Source organism: Homo sapiens, chromosome 13, assembly GCF_000001405.40.
Source record: "Homo sapiens chromosome 13, GRCh38.p14 Primary Assembly".
NCBI classification, from domain to species: Eukaryota; Metazoa; Chordata; class Mammalia; order Primates; family Hominidae; genus Homo; species Homo sapiens.
In genome coordinates, this window is record NC_000013.11 from 49,184,139 (window position 1) to 49,206,554 (window position 22,416).

Genomic DNA, 22,416 nt, shown 5'->3' on the forward strand with positions numbered 1-22,416 from the left:
CATTCCAAGTGAGGAAATAACTGCTAGCACAAAGACCCTACAGTGGAGTTTCAAGAGGTAGTTAAGGATGAAATCACATAGGGCCTTGTAGGCATGGTGTGGAATTTAGATTTTATTTTGAGTAAGATGGGAAGCCATTAGAGGGTTCTGAGCTAAGCAGTGATAAAAAGTCCCTCTGGCTTCGGTGTAGAAAGTAGTTGGGGGTCAAGGGCAAGAATGTACACTGGGAAACTAGCTAGTGGTATAATTACAGTCACTCAGGAAAGATAGGAGAAAGGAGGCTTTCATTAAAGTGGTCGTAGTTGTAGAACAGTGAAGTGGAGGTAAAGTTAACCAGATATAGTAAGAGATTGGATGCGGTTTAGAGAAGAATCAAGGATGTCTCCTTTTTGTAAGGTCAACCGAGAGGAAGAATAGACCCAAAGTCAGCCGAGTAAGTTTATTGAACCTGCCGGCTGCTCCACTACAGACAGAGGAGGAAGCCCTGAGCTTATAAAATGAGGGGTTTATATTGGGGAGAGAGACCCTGGGGTCGTTTGTTGGTTAACTTTATCATATATCACCTTGTGACATTTGTGGTAGCAGCTAAATGAAGGAACTTACAGGTAGGTGTAGGTAAAGCTTGTTTGTGCTTCCCACGACCTCCCCCTGTGCGGTCCCAATGGCCTGTAATTGGGATTTGCTTATCACAGCAAGGCCTGATAGGTGAAGTCTGCTGGCTTCATTGTGGCACCTAGATAAGGGCTTAGAAATGTAAAGGGGCTCAGAGGGAAAGGTGGGCAGCACAGAGAAGAGTTGCAGAGCATAAGGGGGAGGGGGGTGGGCAGCATGGAGAGGTTTGAGGGGAGCGTCAGCAGTACCAAGATTTTTTGGGGCAGTTTGTCTCTAACACTTTTGACTTGAGCAACTAGGTAGATGGTAGAGCTTTTTACTGTGGGGAGAGAAAAAGAGGGGCAGGTTTAGAGAAGAAAAAATCATGGTTTGATATTGGACTTGAGGATCTTTAAGTTCAGTAGAGGAGAAAATGTAACAATACAGGTATAGTTAAATTTCTATAATAGAAAAATACCTAGATTGGAATTATATTTCTCTATTGCTTTATAACAAATTATCCCAAAATTTAGCAGCTTGAAAAAACAAACTTATAGTTTCTGTGGGTCAGGAATTGAGAACCAGCTTAACTGGGTAATTCTGATGCAGGGTCTCTATGAGGTTGTAATCAAGATGTCAACTGGGGTTGCAGTCATCTCAAGGCTCTCCTGGGACTTCACTCACTTTCAGGTTCACTCACATGGTTGTCTCCAGGAACCCTCAGTTCCTCACCACATGAGTTTTTCCATAGGGAAGTTACACACACCGTCATTTCTGCTGTATTCTGTTTGTTAGAGTGAGTCATTAAGTATAACACACACACAAGGGAAGGGGGATTAGACTTCACCTTTTGAAGAAAGGAGATTCAGAGAATGTGTGGACCTCTTTCTAAACTCACAAAGAATGTTAAAAGAAGAAACAAAGCAAGCCTAAAGCCCATGAAGAATCACCAGATTATAGCTTGTTCCTCTGATTCTTATTTAGTATCAAAATATTAGGTTTTACACTTGTATTCCCAGGACGGACTCTAAAAGGGGAAGTACAGTTGCATACTCTTCATATATGCCAAGTATCTATTGGAGACAAGCAATTCTCAAAGAACAAGCCATTCCAAGCTAAAAAAAATGTATTTTATCATTTGGTTGAAGCTGTTTGTCTCCTATCACTTTGTTTATTAAGCCAGTATCATTAGGTATCAAGTGTATTATTTAATGTCTTTCTGTTCTCATCACAGGTTATTGCTTACAACTCAGAAGGTAAAAGTAATCCAAGTGAAGTAGTAGAATTTACTACTTGCCCTGATAAACCAGGCATACCTGTAAAGCCTTCAGTGAAAGGAAAGATACATTCACACAGTTTTAAAATAACCTGGGGTAAGATATTATGCATGTTTATACATTATTACTTTTGCGTTTGATTAAAATAATTTGAATATGAAGATAATTTTTAAGATATTTGAGTAAATTTGTTATCTCAAGCCAGTCCAAAAAGAAATGTGAGAGTCATTCATTGGGTATGTTTTTTGTGGAAAACCTTATACTCTCATACATGCTAGGTTAAGATATGATAAAAAGGAACTTGCGATCCACTGTAAGATAATGAGCAGGGGTAGCACTGTGAAATGAAGGATTACTGAACTTGCAGCTAAAGTCACCTGGGTCATCTGGCTCTCGTAAGAAATGAAAACCATTCATTTAAAACAAACATTTATCGAGCACCTACCTACATACCTAATGGAAAAACAAAGATCCCATAAACTTGACCCTTGCCTGAAAAATTCAGACCAATAAAAATGCTTCAGTGATATTTATAATATTCAAAAATTTCAAACAACCTTAACATCTAAAGTAAATGGAGGCTGGGCATGGTGGCTTACGCCTGTAATCCCAACACTTTGGGAGGCCCAGGCGGGCAGATCACATGAGGTCAGGAGTTCGAGACCAGCCTGGCCAACATGGTGAAACCCCGTCTCTACTAAAACTACAAAAATTAGCTGGGCATGGTGGCACATGCCTGTAGTCCCAGCTACTCAGGAGGCTGAAGCAGGAGAATCGCTTGAACCCAGGAGGCAGAGGTTGCAGTGAGTCGAGATTGTACCATTGCATTCCAGCCTGGGCAACAGAGTGAGACTCCATCTAAAAAAAATAAATAAAAATAAGTAAATGGAATATCATGCAGCCATTAAAAATTGTTATAGAGAGCCATATTTTAAATATGGTAAATTAAGTGAAAAGCAGATGACAACAGCATGGAGTAATTGGGTACTGGTATTAAGTCATTGCAGGTGATTTTTTTTTTTTAAACCTAGTTTGGTATTCTGTTTATTAGGTTTTTTTTATCATTTTTATGTTGTTTTGTACCTTGCCTAATACTACTTTGCTTCTTTGGATAGATCCACCAAAAGACAATGGCGGAGCAACCATCAATAAATATGTAGTGGAGATGGCAGAAGGTTCTAACGGTATGAATGGATATTAAACACTGATAGATTTATTCCAGCCAGTCTCTTTCTATTCTTTATGGCTTTACATTTTATGTCATATCTTTTCTTTCTTCTTGCTTTTCATAAGGTACACCATAAAAAGATGTTCACTTCACTTTGGGTTGTCCTGGATTTTTTTTTTTTAATGTCATAAGTTTATTGACAAACATATCTAGTATGCCATATGAGTTCAAGTTTGATCCACTTCCAGAGGCTGTACCTCTTAAAATGCTCTTCATATCTGTTAATGGATGAACTGAAACATCCTTATGTTTTAAGTAGTTGTTGTCTTACTACAAGAAAGGGTGTAGCAAATGCAGATCCAAAGTACAAACACATCTTAGCTAGTAACGACCACTTGTTTTCCACTGAAAATGGCAAATTCTTCCCAGGGCCCTCCTCACAGTGGCTCCTACGGACCACAGAGGTTGTGAACCTCCGGATGCTCTGGCCCAACGTAGCGCTGCTGGAAGCTCTGCGAAAGGCACAGAAACCGAGGACGGATGAAATGGCGGCACCTCACCAAGACCTTTTTTTTTTCCTGGATTTTTTTTTTCTTTGTTTGTAGCAGTTAGGATTTTGCCTGTTATGATCCACTTTAAATTGTGATTTCCAGAAATACAGTGAATCAAATGTAAGAGTGCTGAACAACTGTATCGTTGCATTTACATGTTCTTTTTGTTCTCATTTATTTACATTGCTCAGCCTCTATACACCTAGACCAAGTCATTAGATACTATGAATCTTCTGAAGGTTAGTTTATTCAGTTAGATTTATATACAGATATATCAGAGAAGGATTAACTTCTAAAATTTAACTCACATCATACTAGTTTTAGTAGTAAGTTTTATGACTAGTGAACTTTATTCTTGAATCACACATTTAGCAGTGTTTATTTCTATGAAATGACCTATTTCCTGCCAAAAAGAAAAAAAAGATGTCTTTTAATTAGGACTAGACTTCCTCTGATACTGGTTTTTTGTACTCTTTGTATGCTATAACGTTATTACTGGACCAGTAAACACATTTAAAATGCTTAATTAAAAGTAAATTATCAATCTAGGCCAAAGTCTGTACAGAGTTACAGAGATATTTCACTTCCACAAAGCCATGCAGACTTGTCTAGGAAGCTGCACACATAAAGAAAATTAGATCATTTCCAGGAAACCGAAACAAACCTAAATTGTTTCTGACAAATTACACAAATACTTACTTTGTGAAGCTAGGATACCTGATGTGTCCATGATACCAGAACGTTAAACATTACCTAGTATCTGATTGAACACAATTCCTCACCTTACAGGAAACAAATGGGAAATGATATACAGTGGTGCTACCAGGGAACATCTTTGTGATCGACTGAATCCAGGCTGTTTCTATCGTTTACGAGTTTACTGCATCAGTGATGGAGGACAGAGTGCGGTAATACTTATATGTAGATTCTTTTGTGTTGTTATTAAGTTTGGCCAAATGGGGTAGGATCACCAGGTGCCACTTCAAATATTGAAACATATCCACAAATGGAGAAAAGTAACTTCTGTAACCTGTTGGGTTAATTTGATAGTGACCAAAATATTCTAATGTGGTACTTAGCTCACAGTAAGTATTCAGTGTGTGTCTGTTGTCTGGTTGGTATTCAGCTTTGGAAAAACAAATACATGAAAACATTGGAGAAAATTTTATAAAGATAAATTTGAGAATGATGCTCAATAACCATACTAAGCAGAGATAGAAATAAAATAATTATAGACCGATTTACTGCTCCATAAATTATGTGTGTGAGGACACATCATAAAATAGTATCTGCTGTTTAATCTACTTTCTAATATTTACTTACTTCAAAAAAGTTGGCCATTATTTTATTATTAGAGACTCAATAACCAAAATGAACTTAAAATGTACCATTGATATAAAGACATAATGTTCTAGGGATGTATGTTTATTAATGAGTGATTTTTTTTTTTTTTGGGAAACAGTCTCACTCTGTCGCCCAGGCTGGAGTGCAGTGGCACGATTGGGGCTCACTGCAACCTCTGCCTCCTGGGTTCTGCAACCTCTGCCTCCTGGGTTCAAGAATTCTCCTGCTTCAGCCTCCCTAGTAGCTGGGACTACAGGCGCCCCCCACCACAACTGGCTAATTTTTGTATTTTTAGTAGAGACGGGGTTTTACCATGTTGGCCAGGCTGGCCTCGAACTCCTGACTTCGTGATCCACCGGCCTCAGCCTCCCACAGTGCTGGGATTACAGGCATGAGCCACCGCACCCGGCCAAGTGATTTTTTTTTTTTAAATGAATTAAACCAAGAATGGTTTCTTGGATCATTCATAATTGCTGGGTTTTTTTTTTGAAATGAAATTTAATGCAATGAAAGTATTCTTTTTTAAAAATGAAATATAGGCATTTTGTTGAAAATGAAACTAATGTGCAACTGAGTGTGAGTCCTGCCCAACTGGCTTGTGCTCCAGTTGCTTCATTTTATCCAGTAAGAAAATCTCCCTGGATTTCAGAAAAGCAACAACACATAGACATGCACAAAATCCTGTTCTACTATAGCATTTTACAGCATTTTTACATAGATAGCTTTCTGATAAAAAGATGACCAAATATTTTGTGTTTAAAAAGAATGTTAAGTATGAACCTTAATATGTTGCAAGTAAGTAATATGCCACTGAGTTTGTGGCATTGTTTTTTTTGAGACAGAGTCTCACTCTGTTGCCCAGGCTGGAGTGCAGTGGCACGATCTCGGCTCACTGCCAGCTCTGCCTCTTGGGTTCACACCATTCTCCTGCCTCAGCCTTCCAAGTAGCTGGGACTACAGGTGCCTGCCACCATGCCCGGCTACTTTTTTGTATTTTTAGTAGAGACTGGGTTTCACCATGTTAACCAGGATGGTCTCGATCTTCTGACCCTGTGATCCACCCGCCTCAGCCTCCCAAAGCGCTGGGATTACAGGTGTGAGCCACCGCGCCCGGCCCAGTGTGGCATTGTTTTTAACAGAGTGTCTTTAAAAATAAAGGCTTTTTAAAATATAAATATAGCATAGAAACTAAAAGCAGTATCAAATACCTAGAAAGATGCCAAGTAACTGGAAAAGCTTACCTGATTTTAGAATTATTTTTAGGTGGAAAGGATGAAGGAAAGATAATCTTTTAATGTATAAGTTAAGCTTGGTGCAGTGACAAATGTGTATAGTCTCAGCTACTCTGGACGTGGGAGGATTGCTTGAGCCTAAGAATTTGAGGCTGTAATCATACCTGTGAATAGCAACTGCATTCCATCCTGGGCAACATACCAAGACCCCATCTCTAAAAATAAATAAATAAATCAGTGTTTAGGTTAAAAATACAGTCTACAGTAGTAAAGTAGCCAAAATATTCTAAACCTCCTTACAACAATACAAACAGCATATACAGTATTTTAAAACATCCCTCCTTAGAAGAGATTTATGGATCCTTTTGGAGAAGATCAAAAATATTGCCCATTAAATTGTGTTGGAAGTTGTTTTTTTCTTTAGTTATGGAAAGAAAAGGAAAGGAAGGGTTCATTGAAGTTCTTTTTCAGTAACTTGCTTTGTATATAGTAGTTGCACAGTACATGTCTTTCTTTGTCTATGAAAATTTTGAGTTTTTATTTAATTGGGTTTTCATTTTTTTTCAGAACTTTATTCCTTTTTTGTTGACAATCAAGTACAATTTCAAATTATCAGTGCAATATTTGTGTTTATATTATTTTTCCTTACCAAAAGCAATCTGATTATTTGGTTTTGGGGCATTTTTGTTTTCTTTTTGCTTTTGTTTTGGCAGGTCTCTGAATCTTTACTTGTGCAGACTCCAGCTGTGCCTCCTGGCCCATGCCTCCCTCCCAGATTACAGGGTAGACCCAAAGCAAAAGAAATACAGTTACGATGGGGTAATTTCCATTTTGGTAATAAATTATAATTAAGCTAGAACAGGAAGTATTCGTCTTGTTAAATTGCATTAATCTTTCCATCTTTTAGGACCCCCTCTGGTTGATGGTGGATCACCCATTTCCTGTTACAGTGTGGAAATGTCTCCTATAGAAAAAGATGAACCTAGAGAAGTTTACCAAGGTTCTGAAGTAGAATGTACAGTGAGCAGCCTTCTTCCTGGAAAGACATACAGCTTCAGACTACGTGCAGCTAACAAAATGGGGGTAAGAAGACTGTGCTGGTAGAATTATAATCACAATGGTGATATATGTTTCATTTTAACATATATCATCATATCCATTATTTGGCCATTTGGCTTTAACATATGACTCCAAATTTTACAATTTTTAACAAGCCTACATTGATAAATACAAGAGAAGTCGGTATATTCCATAACTTAATTTTTATGAAATCTCAGTATTTTTAGATCCCACTTACAGTTTGTGACACTTTGGACTTCAGCTGGGCTAGAGTTTACCTTTTAGGCAGTGTTAATAGAGTTTACTTAATCAATTTAAGAGTAGAAATAAAATCATAAGTACTGAAGTTTTTTGAGGCTGATTGAAGTTTTTGAGGTTTTTGAGGCTGATTGAAGTTTTTTGAGGCTAAAGTAGCATTTACTTTCAGTTGGCAACTAATTATGATTCATTTTTTTTGCCCAAATGAAAAAAAACTTATGCTTGAAACTATTCTGGTTTTGTATGTATTTTTTGAAATATTATCTATGTATTTAATATATAACTCCAAAAAGTGGACAAAGTAGGTGATATCTCCATTTCACAACTAAGGAAACGGGTTCAGGAAAGCTAAATATTTTGCCCACAGTCATACAAACTAATAAGTGATAGAGGTAAGCTACAAACCTTAGTTTGTCAGACTCCAGAGCCAAAGCTCTTTCCACTCAGCTATGACACCTCTCATCTCTCTGCAATAAAGCAGGTTCCCTAAGGACAAAGCAGTAATTTCCTATCTCAGCTAAATAACAATTTCTTTCAACTATTGTATAATTAAAATTTTTATAGAATTAAACTGACAGTTCTCTCCTACCCATTATTTTGGTGAACTATACTATATTTCAAATCCTGTTTTCCAACAGGGTTCTGTATTTACATCTGTAAACTTATTTTTCAATTTATTTCTGTTTGATTTTTTGAAACAGGGTCTCACCCTGTCACCCAGGGTGGAATGCAGTGGTGTGATCTTGGCTCTCTGCAACCTCCGCCTCCTGGGCTCAGGTGACCCTTCTACCTCAGCCTCCCAAGTAGCTGGGACCACAGGTGTACATCACCACACCTGGATAATTTTTTCATATTTTTAGTAGAGAGAGGGTTTTGTCATGTTGCCCAGGTTAGTCTCAAACTCCTGGGCTCAAGAGATCTACCCACCTCGGCCTCCCAAAGTAGTGGGATTACAGGCAAGAGCCACTATGCCCGGCCTAAATTTCTTATATGTCAAATTTATATACTTAGGCTGCTCTTACACAAGTCATTCCTTTCTGTAAGAAGCCATCTTGTCAGCCTCACAAGGCTGCAGTACACTAGGATCGCATCTTTAATACTTACGTCTTAATTTATATTTTCAGGTTTGTGATAATTTGTCAAAATCACCTTAAGTAAATATTTACTTTCCGTATTTCCAGAGAACATACATTTTAGACCTTTCTAAAGCTATTCCAGATTTTAAGATAAAATTTATGCCTACCAGAGAGCAGTACTGATAAATAATGTACTATAAGTACACTATTTACAGTTTTATTTTAAATAAAATCCATTCAGCATGCTAGAATGGTGAAGCTTTGTCATTATTTTGTTGTTGTCGACATGAATTAACCTTGTTCAAAAAAGGGGGGCAAAAAAATGACATTTGTCATGGAAAACTTTTTTTAATCCCTATAGGACTTGAGGAACAGAATCCTTACTTCAGTTCTTATAAATAGTTGTGCTAAACCTCAAGTTTCTATCATTTAGTGGCCCTTTCCATGCTCTCCATGAACTAAACTGAATTATCTGTGTGACTGATATGTTTTCTTAGGTTGCCTTATAACATGTATAACAGTACTCTTTATTTGTAGATACCTTTGTATGTATGTGTGTGTATAGACAGATAGACAGACTTTTTTTTTGAGACAGGGTATCTGTCACCCAGGCTGGAGAGCAGGGGTATGATCATGGCTCACTGCAACCTCAACCTCCCAGGCTTAAGCGATCCTCCTGCCTCAGCCTCCTGAGTAGCAGGGACTATAGGTGCACACCACCATACCAGGCTGATTTTTTACTTTTTTATAGAGATGGGGGTCCCCTTATGTTTCCCAGGTTGGTCTCAAACTCTCGGGCTCAAGTGATTCCCCCACCTTAGCCTCCCAAAGAGGTGGGATTACAGGCATGAGCCTCTGCACCTGACCTTTTATATATACTTATTATTGTAAATCATTTGCTGCCACTAGCAGTCTGTAAGTCTATACTATTAAATGACATATTGGCCAGGCATGGTGGTAAATGCATGTAATCCCAGCACTTTGGGAGGCCAAGGTGGGTGGGTCACTTGAGGTCAGGAGTTCGAGACCAGCCTGACCGACATGGTGAAACCCCTTCTCTGCTAAAAATGCAAAACTTAGCTGGGCATAGTGGCGTGTGCCTGTAATCCCAGCTGCTCTGGAGGCTGAGGCAGGAAAATCACTTGAACCTGGGAGGCGGAGGTTACAGTGAGCTGAAATCATGCCACTACATCCAGCCTGGGCGACAGAGTGAGACTCTGTCTCAAAAAAAAAAGCAATTAAAAACAAAAAACTATTAAATGACAGATTTATATTTGGAATTTTGGCTAGGCACAGTAGCTCACACCTGTAATCCCAATACTTGGGGAGGCCGAGGCTGGCAGATCACTTCAGGCCAGGAGTTCGGGACCAGCCTGGCCAACATCGGGAAACCCCATATCTACTAAAAATACAAAAATTAGCTGGGCTTGGTGGTACCCACACCTGTAGTCCCAGCTACTCAGGAGGCTGAGGCACAAGAATCGCTTGAACCCAGGAGGTGGAGGTTGCAGTGAGCTGAGATTGTGCCACTGAACTCCAGCCTGGGCAACAGGCTTTTTCTCAAAAAAATAATAACATATTTGGAATTTTAAAATTGATTGGGTTTTCAAATTTATTGTTTTAAATTAGGAACTTTTGAACTACTAATAAAACTATCTGCCATAGTTCATTGATTTTTACATGAAATATTTATTTTCAAGATGGTTTCAAGATTACTTTTCACAAAGCAGGCGCATTATATCACCATTTTGCTCTGCCTTGTAAACTTGCCATCTGGGATTTTTGGGTGGTATTCATGTGAGAGTAAAGCATATTCTCTAGCAGTTTCCTATAGCTACAGGTTTGTTTGTTTTTTTTCATTGCTTCTAACAGGATATAGTTACTATGAGTCCATGAAATATAATGGAAATGTGAATAAGGAGTTTACTGAAGACTTTAAACATTTGATTTTTTTTTAATCGTGAATATGATAGAAACTGGTAGTGTTGAGCAGTGCAAATATTTGAAGTGGTGATTTGTGAAATAGCCCAGCATTGCCTTAAACAAAATCACAGTCTACTTCTTGTTTTATACATATGATAGTATAAAAGGTTTCTTTTTTTTCCCATTTTCTGAGATTTATAGATTGGTATATAGCTTTAAACTATATAAAGTTTTATGGAAAGATTTTTTAAACTTATTAATATAAATTTTAAAGTTGATATAATTAAAGTGAGCCTATCTTCTGTTTATAAAATGCAAGATTCCTTAACATTTATAATTATACAGATGAAATAGTTTCTATAAGGAAGTTGGAGTTTTGATTTTGCCCTTTATAGATGTTAGATTGTGCAGATTTGTCTGTATTTTCTCACCATATCAAATAATACTTTTATTATAAGATTGGTTTTCAAGAGCCGTATTAGTTGTTATAATTGATTAGTATATAGTTTAACTTTATTCATCATATTTATACTGTAGATTTATGGCCAGAGGTTGAGGTTATTTCAGGAGAGTTGATGACCTTCATTTAAAGTCTAGCTAAAATCAGTGCTGTAAACAAAAGGAAACATTTACGTTTGTTTCTGTTTGCCATATATAGTAGCCTTGATTTTTTACTTTTTTATAAAACAGTTACGTTCACAATATTAGCCTGAGGTATTAATGACATTGTGATGATACAAAATGGTGTATATTCCCTGTGCAATCGGATTTGGAGGAAAAATGAAGGACTTAACATTATCTGAAGTCACTGATACTCTGAATAAGTATGGTCAAGGAGTGAACTATTTTCTTTTGGAAAAACTTTTTAAAATTTTATTTTTAAAGTATTATACTGTTATTTTTAGGGCCTAATGGTTACATTGAATAGTTGGTTTCACCTTCTTAAGGTTTTTTACCAATATTCATGAAACTTGATATTTTTAAAATCCCTACCCTTTGGTAAGTCGTTATTTATTAACATTTTTATTGGTGATTAATACATGTTTTTTCCTAAATTAAAAATAAATAACTTGGAATAATTTTAATATTAAATATTTGTTAACAACTGAATGTTTCCATAGAATTTTCTGAGAAGTTGAGTTTCTTAGAGTTTTCGTAGCTGGCTGGGCCCAGTGGCTCATGCCTGTAATCCCAGCACTTTGGCTCAAGCAGTCCTCCCTCTGAGACAGGAGGACCACTTGTGCCCAGGAGTCTGAGACCAGCCTGGGCAACATGGTGAAACCCTGTCTCTGTAAAAAGTAGAAAAATTAGCCCAGCATGGTAGTGCACACCCGTAGTCCCAGCTACTCAGGAGGCTGAGGTGGGAGGATGGCTTGAGCCCAGGAAGTCGAGGGTGCAGTGAGCCATGTTTGCACCACTGCACTCCTGCAGTCTAGGTGATGGAGCCAGCCAGACCTTGTCTCAAAAAAAAAAAAAAAAAAAAAAAAAGAAGTTGAGCTAGCTCTTAAAGATGGGCATTTGGCAAAACTGCCTGATACAGTGCAGTAACAAGTAGGTTTACTTCTGACCATTATAATGATGCGCCACTGTTAAGTGAAAATACCAGTGTATTGGGGCTTTTCTTTTGCTAATGAGCTTTGAAAAATTGATGACAAGAAATTTCTGTAATTGTTCTCCTATGTGTCGGGGAAGGAATTTGCCAATACTGAATAAAATTTTTTATATTCCGGGTAATGTATGTTAAAAGTAATTATGAGAAAGTGAGCTTTTTAGCATGGAACAGAAAAATCAAATTCTGTTACAAAATAAACAAATTTATAGAACAGAATGTTGGTAAAATTTGATATGGAATATGCCTAAGAAAGATTCGTGAAGTATTAAAAAATTAAAAATAATAATTTACACCTACCATCTCCCGTACCTTTAATTAGTATCAATTTCTTCACTCCTTATATTTCTCCTGAATTATTCCACCGACCTCATTCCCTAATGTCCTGCCCTTCTTACAAAAACCATTTCCTGAAGAAATAAGGGGCAGAAGAAAGTATAGGTAAATGAAACTTTAAAATTTCTCACACCTTTACTTTCATGATTTTTAAGTCTTTTTAGTTAATGTGAATACTTATAGAATTATGACCAAATTAATCTTGAAACACAGGGAAAAGACTTTATTAATGAATCTTTAAATATGCAGTTCTGTGCAATCAGTGGACATTTAAGGGTGAAAAATAAAAACACTAGTTACATTTGTTTTTCTAGTTTGGACCATTTTCAGAAAAATGTGATATTACTACAGCCCCTGGGCCACCAGATCAGTGCAAGCCCCCTCAAGTGACATGTAGATCTGCAACTTGTGCACAAGTGAATTGGGAGGTATTGTAATTTCCATTGACTTGTATCTACTTTCTTAAGTGAATAGAATAGTTTATATAAAAGAATAAAGATACTGTTCATTTTTACCGCCTATATTATACAGAGTAAGCCCTAGTTTAATTCACATGAAAAACAGTGACTTCTTTTTCCTCTTTGAAGAATTTGAGTAAGGTATATTTGCATTACAAATATTTAGATTCCTGTTCATTATGTGCTTTGTATTTTTATGAATGGCTTTGTCTCAGTACTGAGATATTTCAGCCACTGTAAGTTTAATGTTCAGAATAGACATACACAGGAATTAGTAAATTCTATTTCTCTTATATTTATCCAGTACACATCTCCAGTGTACTTATTGTGGATAGTAATAATCAGTGATGATAATTATTATATTTTCAGTTCCCTTTGAAATTTAACAAAATGTGTGTATGCTTTTAACATTTCATATTAATAGAATTATCTTGAAACATATTTACCTTAAAACACTCTTTCTAAAGTGACTTAGTCATATTTCTACTTCTAATTCAAAACAGTTATATATTTGACCAATCTTAAATTCAGATAATCTTAATGAATAAAAAATGTAAAATTGAACAGTTTTGATTGTGCTTAAAAGTTTTAAAGAAACTCAAAAGCAATCTAGTTTTACATGTGCTCAGGTAAAGAGCATTTTTGGCCAAAAGCTATTTAATCAACATCAAGACTAAGACCTTTATCCTTTTCTTAATTTAAAGGTTCCTTTGAGTAATGGAACAGATGTCACTGAATATCGACTGGAGTGGGGAGGAGTTGAAGGAAGTATGCAGATATGTTACTGTGGGCCTGGTCTCAGTTATGAAATAAAAGGACTTTCACCAGCAACTACCTATTATTGCAGGGTCCAGGTAAAGATGATCAGTACCTTGTCACTTAACTCTATCCAGAGTTTTATATTTCATTGGCATTTTCATGGTCATGACTTTGTTAACTCGGAGGCTCTGTTAATTTGTAGGCTCTGAGTGTTGTGGGTGCAGGCCCTTTCAGTGAAGTAGTAGCCTGTGTGACTCCACCATCAGTTCCTGGCATTGTGACCTGTCTTCAAGAAATAAGCGATGATGAGATAGAAAATCCCCATTATTCACCTTCTACATGCCTTGCAATAAGCTGGGAAAAGCCTTGTGATCATGGTTCGGAAATCCTTGCCTACAGCATAGACTTTGGAGATAAACAATCCCTAACAGTGGGAAAGGTTACAAGCTATATTATCAACAATTTGCAACCAGATACAACATACAGGTATACTCTAAAAATTATGTTGATTTTTGCCTAGACCAGAGAGACGCTTTAAATAAAACAATCATAACCAAACTTTTTTTCTTATGTGGCACTTAGAATACGAATTCAAGCCTTGAATAGCCTTGGAGCTGGTCCTTTCAGCCATATGATAAAATTAAAAACTAAGCCTCTCCCTCCTGATCCACCTCGTCTGGAATGTGTTGCCTTTAGCCACCAGAACCTTAAGCTGAAATGGGGAGAAGGAACTCCAAAGACATTGTCAACCGATTCTATTCAGTACCACCTTCAGATGGAGGATAAGAATGGACGGTAGGTTTTTTTAATTGCTTCTTTATATAGTTTCTTAGGTCTTAAGTATATACATTTCTGTAACTATTAGAAGTAGGCCAGGTGTGGTGGCTGACACCTGTAATCTCAGCACTTTGGGAGGCTGAGGCAGGCGAATTGCTTGAGCCCAGGAGTGCAAGACCAGCCTGGGCAAGACAGTGAGACCTTGTCTCTAAAAAAAATTTATTTTAATGAAGTAAGTTTTCAAAAACGAAGTCAAGATTGTCATACAAAAGTGTGCTGTTTTTAAAACGTTAGAAAACACAATGTACATTTCCTGTTTATAATTTGTGAGTGGAATACCAAGAGAAAAAAATAAGTGGGCTACTGTTTGGTTGTTTTCTGTAATCCATTTACTGTTTTCATGATAGTAAAAGACACCTAATCTTAGATACAAAATAAACTCTTCAGTGTTTATTTCTAGCAGGACACAATTTTTTTTTTTTAAGACAAGGTCTTGCTCTGTCACCCAGGCTGGCCTCCAGTGGCACTATCTTGGCTCATTGCAACCTCTGCCTCCAGGGCTGGAGCCATCCTCCCACCTCAGCTCCCCAAGTATCTGTGACCACAGGCGTGGGCCACTACACCTGGCTAATTTTTGTATTTTTAGTAGAGATGGGGTTTCACCATGTCGCTCACACTGGTCTCGAACTCCTGGGCTCAAGTGGTCCTCCCCGCTCAGCCTCACTGAGTGCTGAGATTACAACTCATGAGCCACTGTGCCTGACCGAAACAATTTTTTTTTTTTTTTTTTTTGAGACGGAGTCTCACTCTCACCAGGCTGGAGTGCAGTGACGCGATCTCGGCTCACTGCAATCTCCGCCTCTCAGGTTCAAACAATTCCCCTGCCTCAGCCTCCCAAGTAGCTGGGACTACAGGTGCGCACCACCACGCCCGGCTAATTTTTTGTATTTTAGTAGAGGCGGAGTTTCACCATGTTGGCCAGGATGGTCTCCATCTCCTGACCTCCCGATCCACCTGCCTCGACCTCCCAAAGTGCTGGGATTACAGGCGTGAGCCACTGCACCCGGCCCTGAAACAATTTTATAGTAAATGATTATGATCGTTCCTGGCCTCTGAGATCCTTGAGGGCAGAGATTATGTTTCAGTCTTTTCCAGATTCCTGACACAGGGCCTGCACGCTAAATGAATACAGTTCAGTTTTTCACTGTGTGATCTCAGTTAGATTCTGTGATTAATTATCTAGTCCCTTTGCTAATCACTGTTGCTAATCTTTGCTAATCTTTGAATTAGAAAGAACCTAATTTCATTCAGGTTCTTTCTGTGCCTCTTTCACATCTTCATGTACATGTTGTACTATTCCTATATAATGTGCCATATACTGCCACACTAAATCATGTATTTTAATTACAGTGTTAACTCTGAATATTTGTAACAGTCATTCTAATGCCAACTAGGGCTATTTATTCACATTATATTCCATATAAGCAATGCCACATACCTCCCACAGCTGTTAATCCTTTAATATTTTAAGAATTTTGAATTTTGCTTTTCTACTTTTCACTGAATATATTAGAAACAATTTCCAAATCTGATGGACTCAGAATACTAGTAACAGTTTTTCCCAAGATTTACTTTTCTGTGTTGTTTGTATCTTAGCCAGGTATTCAACAATGAAATATTCATGGTGCTTGTACATAACCACTCTCTATCAGAAATACTTATACATTTAAAATAACATATGGAATAATTTTGTATACTAGTATATCACCAGTAAGAACATTACACAGAACAAACGTGATCATTTCCTAAAATCTGTATCGATGAATGTTAGCCTTTGTTCTTGGCAGAATTTTATGTAATCTTTGTAGCCTTATCTCTACAAAGAGATTATTTGCCTTGTACAGGTTTTTGGTATAGCCATTTATCTTTAATATATGTTATTATTACTGGACAAATTAATTGTTTAAATTTTTTTCCTCCCCTTTCTAGCATACATTTGGGGTAGTGCAAGAAGGCTTACTGGAAACAGGTCTAATTAGTGTTTGGTTGAAAGATAATAGAATAAAGATTCTATTAGATATAAATTCTATTATAGAACTTCCAACTTAATATTCAGCTAGCATCTAGAGAATTGTTATGGGGTATGAATATGGCTCATGGCCTTTGGTTGTGGAAAATAAAGAAATTAAAACCTTTTATGATACTGTTAAGTTTAATGCACACATTTAATAAATTAAATCAATTTAATATCTTTGATTACTTTCATTCCCTTTGATTTTCACAACTATATACACTTGCTGTGGGATGGTATCATAATGATACTTTAGTTGTTCCCTGATCCAGATTTTGTCATTGTTCAGCTTTTTTAAACAGTGGTATTACCACTATTTTTTTTTCCTGTCATTAAAAAAAAATTTAGAGGTTGAAAAGGCAAGGCTTATCCAATTACTGCTTATTGGAAGTACTGTTTCTTCCTGTCATTAAATATTTCTTTATTTTTAACTTGGCTACAATTTTCAGACTGTTAGCATTGAATAAGCATTCATTATTCATTCTCTAATTTCCAAAAATTTTAGAAACATCCAATCAAAAATAATGGGATGCATTCAACTTATAGATAACATATTAGGAGAAATATGTATGATATTCAACTTCATTGAACAGTTCAAGTGGGTAATGTATTGGAAATTTTATATTATCATACTGCTTTTGTAAATCTCTAAAAAAACGTCACCAAGTCAACTAAAAATCTGCCTGGGAATTGAGAATTCTCTTTTTTCCAGATAAAGACAAGGAAGATTAAAATAGAAACTTAATCTCATAGCTCAGGTCTCTATGCCATACTTGGCAAATTTTATCAATATGACTTTAGTTAGAAATAATTTGTAATGAAAATTGTGATGTTCTGAGCATCTTTTAAAATGTACATTAACAAAACAGTATTCAGAAACAAAGCTAAACCGGAAGCCTGAGAAGAAACAGTTATGGTCGGACATGAAATTTAGTAACAGACTTTTGGTAAATCATGTCAAATTGGGAAATTTACCAAATATCCTATTTTTCTTAATCTGATGAAAAACAGATTTATTTTAAGTGACATAGAGTTCCTGGCATCAAACTTTTGGGGTAACTTATCACTCCTAAATAATGTTCATAACTGTGTTTTTATACTAGTTTGTAAAACACTTTAATAAGGTATCATAAGGTAGTATAAGGTTTATCTAATAGTTATTTCCATTTTAGGTTTGTATCCCTATACAGAGGACCATGTCATACATACAAAGTACAAAGACTTAATGAGTCAACATCCTATAAATTCTGTATTCAAGCTTGTAATGAAGCTGGGGAAGGTCCCCTCTCCCAAGAATATATTTTCACTACTCCAAAATCTGTCCCAGCTGCCTTGAAAGGTAAGTTATACATCCTGAACTTATTTTCTTTATAATAAATTACTTTTTAATGTATTTTCATAAATGCTTTGTTTACTGATATTAAAATTTAGCATCCAGTATATGTCCACCAGTTATACAAAATCGTATAGGCAAGCCCAACTCTACTGAGAGTTCCACTCAATAATAAAAGCTGTTTTATCTGGCACGCTCATATTCAGACAAGTACTGGCTTTTGTCACTGATGTTTTTAATAATGTAGCATAAAAATACTAAATTGAATAGGAAGGCTGGTTTTCTAATGAGGTCATTTGCTTAAAGAAAAAAATCACAAACTCTGGTTGTTTAAACGTTTTGAGTTATTGATATTACATTCATTTGGATTTCAGAAGGAAAGCTTGGTCATCTGTTAAGCAAAACAAATTCTTCATTAATGTGGGTTTTTCAATTAGTTTTACACACACATGTACACATATTTACACACATTTGTATATACATTTATCTTTTAATTTTAGAGGGGTTCTTATTTTAAAGTGACTCTGGCAAGGGCTACACTCTATTTTTAGCTGAAAAGTCTATAAAGTTAATTGCTCTGAAGACTAATCACAGAGACTTCTAGAACCATATCCTAGATCATGTACTTAAACCTATCATTTGTTAAACAGCAGAACTCTTCTTGACTAGTCTTTCTAATAATATTGAGTTTCACTGAGTCATTTTTCTGTTTGCTCATCAAGTTTAGTGTCTCTTAGCTTTAAGAAGAGTGCTGACTATAAGCAGGGCACAGTGGCTCACACCTATAAGCCCAGTGCTTTGGGAGACTGAAGTGGGAGGCTCACTTAAGGCCAGGAGTATTGAGACCAACGTGGGCAACATACTGAGACCTGCCTCTCTACAAAAGAAATTTTGAATCAGCTGGGCATGGCAGCATATGCCTGTGTGTGTAGCTGCACAGGAGGCTGAGGCTGCATTGAGCTATGATCGCACCACTGTTGTCCAGGCTGGGTGACAGAGTGAGATCCCATATCTTAGAATACAAGAGTGCTGATTTTAACCTCTTTGGATGCAAATTTCAAAAATTCACTGATACTTATTTCAAGTTTATAAGTGGATTTTAAATATTTGTTGATTTTTATTAAGACAAGTGTCTGCATGATGTACCAAATTAAAAATCAAGTGGAACAGATATTATTTATATTTGTTTCCTACAGCCCCCAAAATAGAGAAAGTAAATGATCACATTTGTGAAATTACATGGGAGTGTTTACAGCCAATGAAAGGTGATCCAGTTATTTACAGTCTTCAAGTTATGTTGGGAAAAGATTCAGAATTCAAACAGGTATGTACCAAGATATTAATGTGTGGATGCATATTTTTACCCTTTTTTAATTTTTATGTATTTTCAGTGTAAGATTTGGCCATCTTTACCTTTTAATTCATAAATATTTATTCAGTATATATTATGTTCCAGAGATCTCAAGATTCCAAATCTTTTCAGTATGAACTACACTTGAACAGATTATTCATTTATCTGATAAGTATTCATTGAATTCTGTGCCAGGCACTCAGGATATAGCACTGAACAAAAAGTCCCTTGCCTCCATGGAGCTTACTTACATTCTGGTGGAAAAGAAGACACTATAAGCAAGTAAACATGACAATATATTGTCAGATATAAGTGTAATGGAGAAAAAACAAAATTGGATAAAAGAAATAGGGAGTGGAGGGGGAGGGCACTGAGTGTTATTTCATTTGGGGCACTCAGCTGACATTTCAGCATGGCCCAGAGGAGATGACTATGGAGAGAAGAGTGTTCCAAGAAGATACGCTGAGGCAGGAACATGCCTATTAAATCTGATGAACATAAAGGAGCCAATATGACTGGATGGAGAGAGCAAAGGGAAGAGTTGATAAGGTCGGATAGTTAATCCTAAGGGGCCTATAGGTGGTATGGAGTGACGTAAGGCATAATAGGCCATACTGTGGCTTTTACTCCACGTGAAATGAGAAGACAGTGGAGGATTTTGACCAGGGTATTCACGTGATCAGACACAACGTTGTTTTGACTATAGTGTTGAAACTACAGTAGGACAAGGGCAGAACTAGAAAGACTAATAAGGAGGCTTTTACAATAATAGTATTAATAATAGTCATAATGCAGTGCTGTAAATATGACATTAGGCATGAAGTTATAATGGAAACCTAGAGGAATTGTCACCTTCCTAGCCAAGAGGTTTCAAAGATAGCTTTCTGATAAAGCAAGAATAGCAGTGAGATAGAGTGGAGTGTTGCCAATGTTTGTTACAACTTTTAAAAAGAATAAGCTTTTATACCACTCCAAAGACTAATTAAATACCTATACATTTCACCTGATTTTCCCTTTTTCCTGTAACCTTAATTTTGAGGGCTTTTAAGCTGGGTTGTTTTCATTGTGTCTTATATTTTCCTCTTCCACTAAAAAAAAGATCCTTCATTTGTTTTATTCCAGTATTGTGCTATTGTAACCACTCTATGTAATATCTTAACTGAAATTACAAAAGATCCAAAGAGTCAGATTAAATCTGGCATGCAATTGTTTTTCTTTATTAAGCCATCTGCAAATTGACAGGATAATTAGATTTGAAATGTAATTTACAGATAAGTAGGTTTCCTTCTAAGGAGGAAGCAAAATTAATATTAAAGAAAATATAATTGTATTACACGTTTAAAGGAAATAGGGATTCCACATTTGAGTAGTATATGAATAACCTTAAGGCTTGTTTGAATGACTTTTCTTGGGTGTATAAACCTTCTGAAATTAGCTTGAGCAGGTTAATCTGTTTTCTTCAGTCCTGTATTTACAGTTACCTGTGTCTCTTCCTGCTTAGAGGTCTTCCCACATCTGAAATACAAAATTGAAAACTTGATCCCATCATCTTCCCTCCCAGTATCTCCTCTCCAACATCTTTACTTCATCAGTGTCATAGACACCAATATCATCTTGGTCTCCAAGCTTTAAATTCTTAGATGAATTTTTTTTTCCTATCAACTCTTAATCAGAATTTGTTTCTAAATCCATAAAACTACATCAGGGCCTCATCACTTTTTACATGTACATCAAGAGTCCCTGTCCTACTCAGCTCCCTTCAGTCCTTCACACAGCCTCACGATTAGGATTCCATAAACACTGTTTTAATGTCACACACCTACAGTGGTCCCTTTTGAATTAACCTAAATTTCCAACTAGTGTAATTAATGTATTCTTCCTCTTTGTACCAGATCTCTTATCACCCTCATGCCATTTGTTGAGGTTTTTCTTTCTTAACCTAATACTGCCAGGCTCATGGAATGGTATATGAAGACACATGGAAAGTATAAAGACAAAAATCATCTATTATATCCATAAGACAAATACATATTTTTAATTTTTACTCAATTTACTTCAGTGTTATGTATACAATTTTACACTACTTTATCATACAACATTCTGTTTTAAGTGAATCCTTTTACAGGTTGAAGCATCCCAAATAAAGTCCAAAATTCAAAATGTTCCACCCAAAATCTGAAACTTTTTGAGGATCGATATGACACTCAAAGGAAATGCTCATTGGAGCATTTCCAATTTCAGATTTTTGGGTTTGGAATGCTCAACTAGTAAATATGCAACTATTCCAAAATCAAAAAAATTGAAATGCTTCTGGTTCCAAGCATTTCTTATAAGGGATACCCAACCTGTACCATCTCCCAAACATGGATCATTTCTACATTCTATTCCCTGAAACATTATGCATCCTTAGAACTAATGTATAGTCACCATTTTCTTTCAGATTTATCTTAAAGCTTCTTTCAGTAAGTTCCTTTATATATTGTTATCAGCATCCACATTTTTATTTATTGCCAATAATTCACTAATTTAATGTCCTTTTATTAAGTACCTACTATATGCTAGATTCTGGAGACAGAAAAATGAGACAGAGATCTTACTTTACTTTGAGAGCAAAGCAATATGTAAAAATTTAGATTTACATCACAGGTACAATTGAGGCAGCTAAAAGTACTTGAAAGCCCCCATGTGTTGGTTCTTCTGACTTGTAGCCCACCAACTAACTGGAGAAACTCAACTGACAAGTCATTTAACCCTATGAACCTTGGTTTTCTCAATTACAGAATGAGTGGTGGGAGGTTGCTCATTATTGGAAATGATAGCTCCTACAGATTGAGCAGTGACTGCATGCTGAGCACTGCGCTAAGTGCTTTAACAAGCATTAGTTCATTTCATCCTCATAATTATCATACATGTTAACTACTAGTATGTCTGTTATACTAAGGTAGTTGGTCTAAAATCACATCTGGAGTGTGAAGTGGTAGAGCAGACCTTGGATGCCAGGGGTGAACAGTTCTAGTATATAGCTTCTTATTTATGCCTAGTGTTCCATTATTGGAACACTAAGCTTGTGGTAGTTATTTATATCTCACTGATCAAGGTTATTGCCAAGGTCTGATTTTTCACAAAAAAAAAATTTGCAACCTCTGGCATAAATGGGTTAATTACTAGCACATTCCTCTGAAAATCCGTGGAATTTCATTCTTTTTATTTCCCTTGTGAGGCATGGCAGAGGAGGTCCTATTT

General features: G+C 36.4%; 1 protein-coding gene and 1 pseudogene across 7 annotated transcripts in view; one reads left to right on the forward strand and one right to left on the reverse strand.

Annotated features, from left to right (window-relative positions):
• The window catches only part of FNDC3A (fibronectin type III domain containing 3A), a 234,489-nt gene that overhangs the window by 208,848 nt on the left and 3,225 nt on the right, over window positions 1–22,416 (forward strand). For 5 of the 7 annotated variants that reach the window (XM_017020440.3, NM_001079673.2, NM_001278438.2 and 2 more), the window contains 11 exons: window positions 1,826–1,964; window positions 2,984–3,052; window positions 4,377–4,495; window positions 6,877–6,982; window positions 7,071–7,246; window positions 12,739–12,852; window positions 13,587–13,736; window positions 13,844–14,127; window positions 14,224–14,436; window positions 17,662–17,828; window positions 19,019–19,146. In XM_017020440.3, coding sequence (XP_016875929.1) covers window positions 1,826–1,964; window positions 2,984–3,052; window positions 4,377–4,495; window positions 6,877–6,982; window positions 7,071–7,246; window positions 12,739–12,852; window positions 13,587–13,736; window positions 13,844–14,127; window positions 14,224–14,436; window positions 17,662–17,828; window positions 19,019–19,146 — 1,665 coding nt within the window. The other 2 variants (NR_103528.2, XM_017020443.2) reach the window with 2 other exon arrangements.
• On the reverse strand, window positions 3,216–3,611 carry COX7CP1 (COX7C pseudogene 1; annotated as a pseudogene).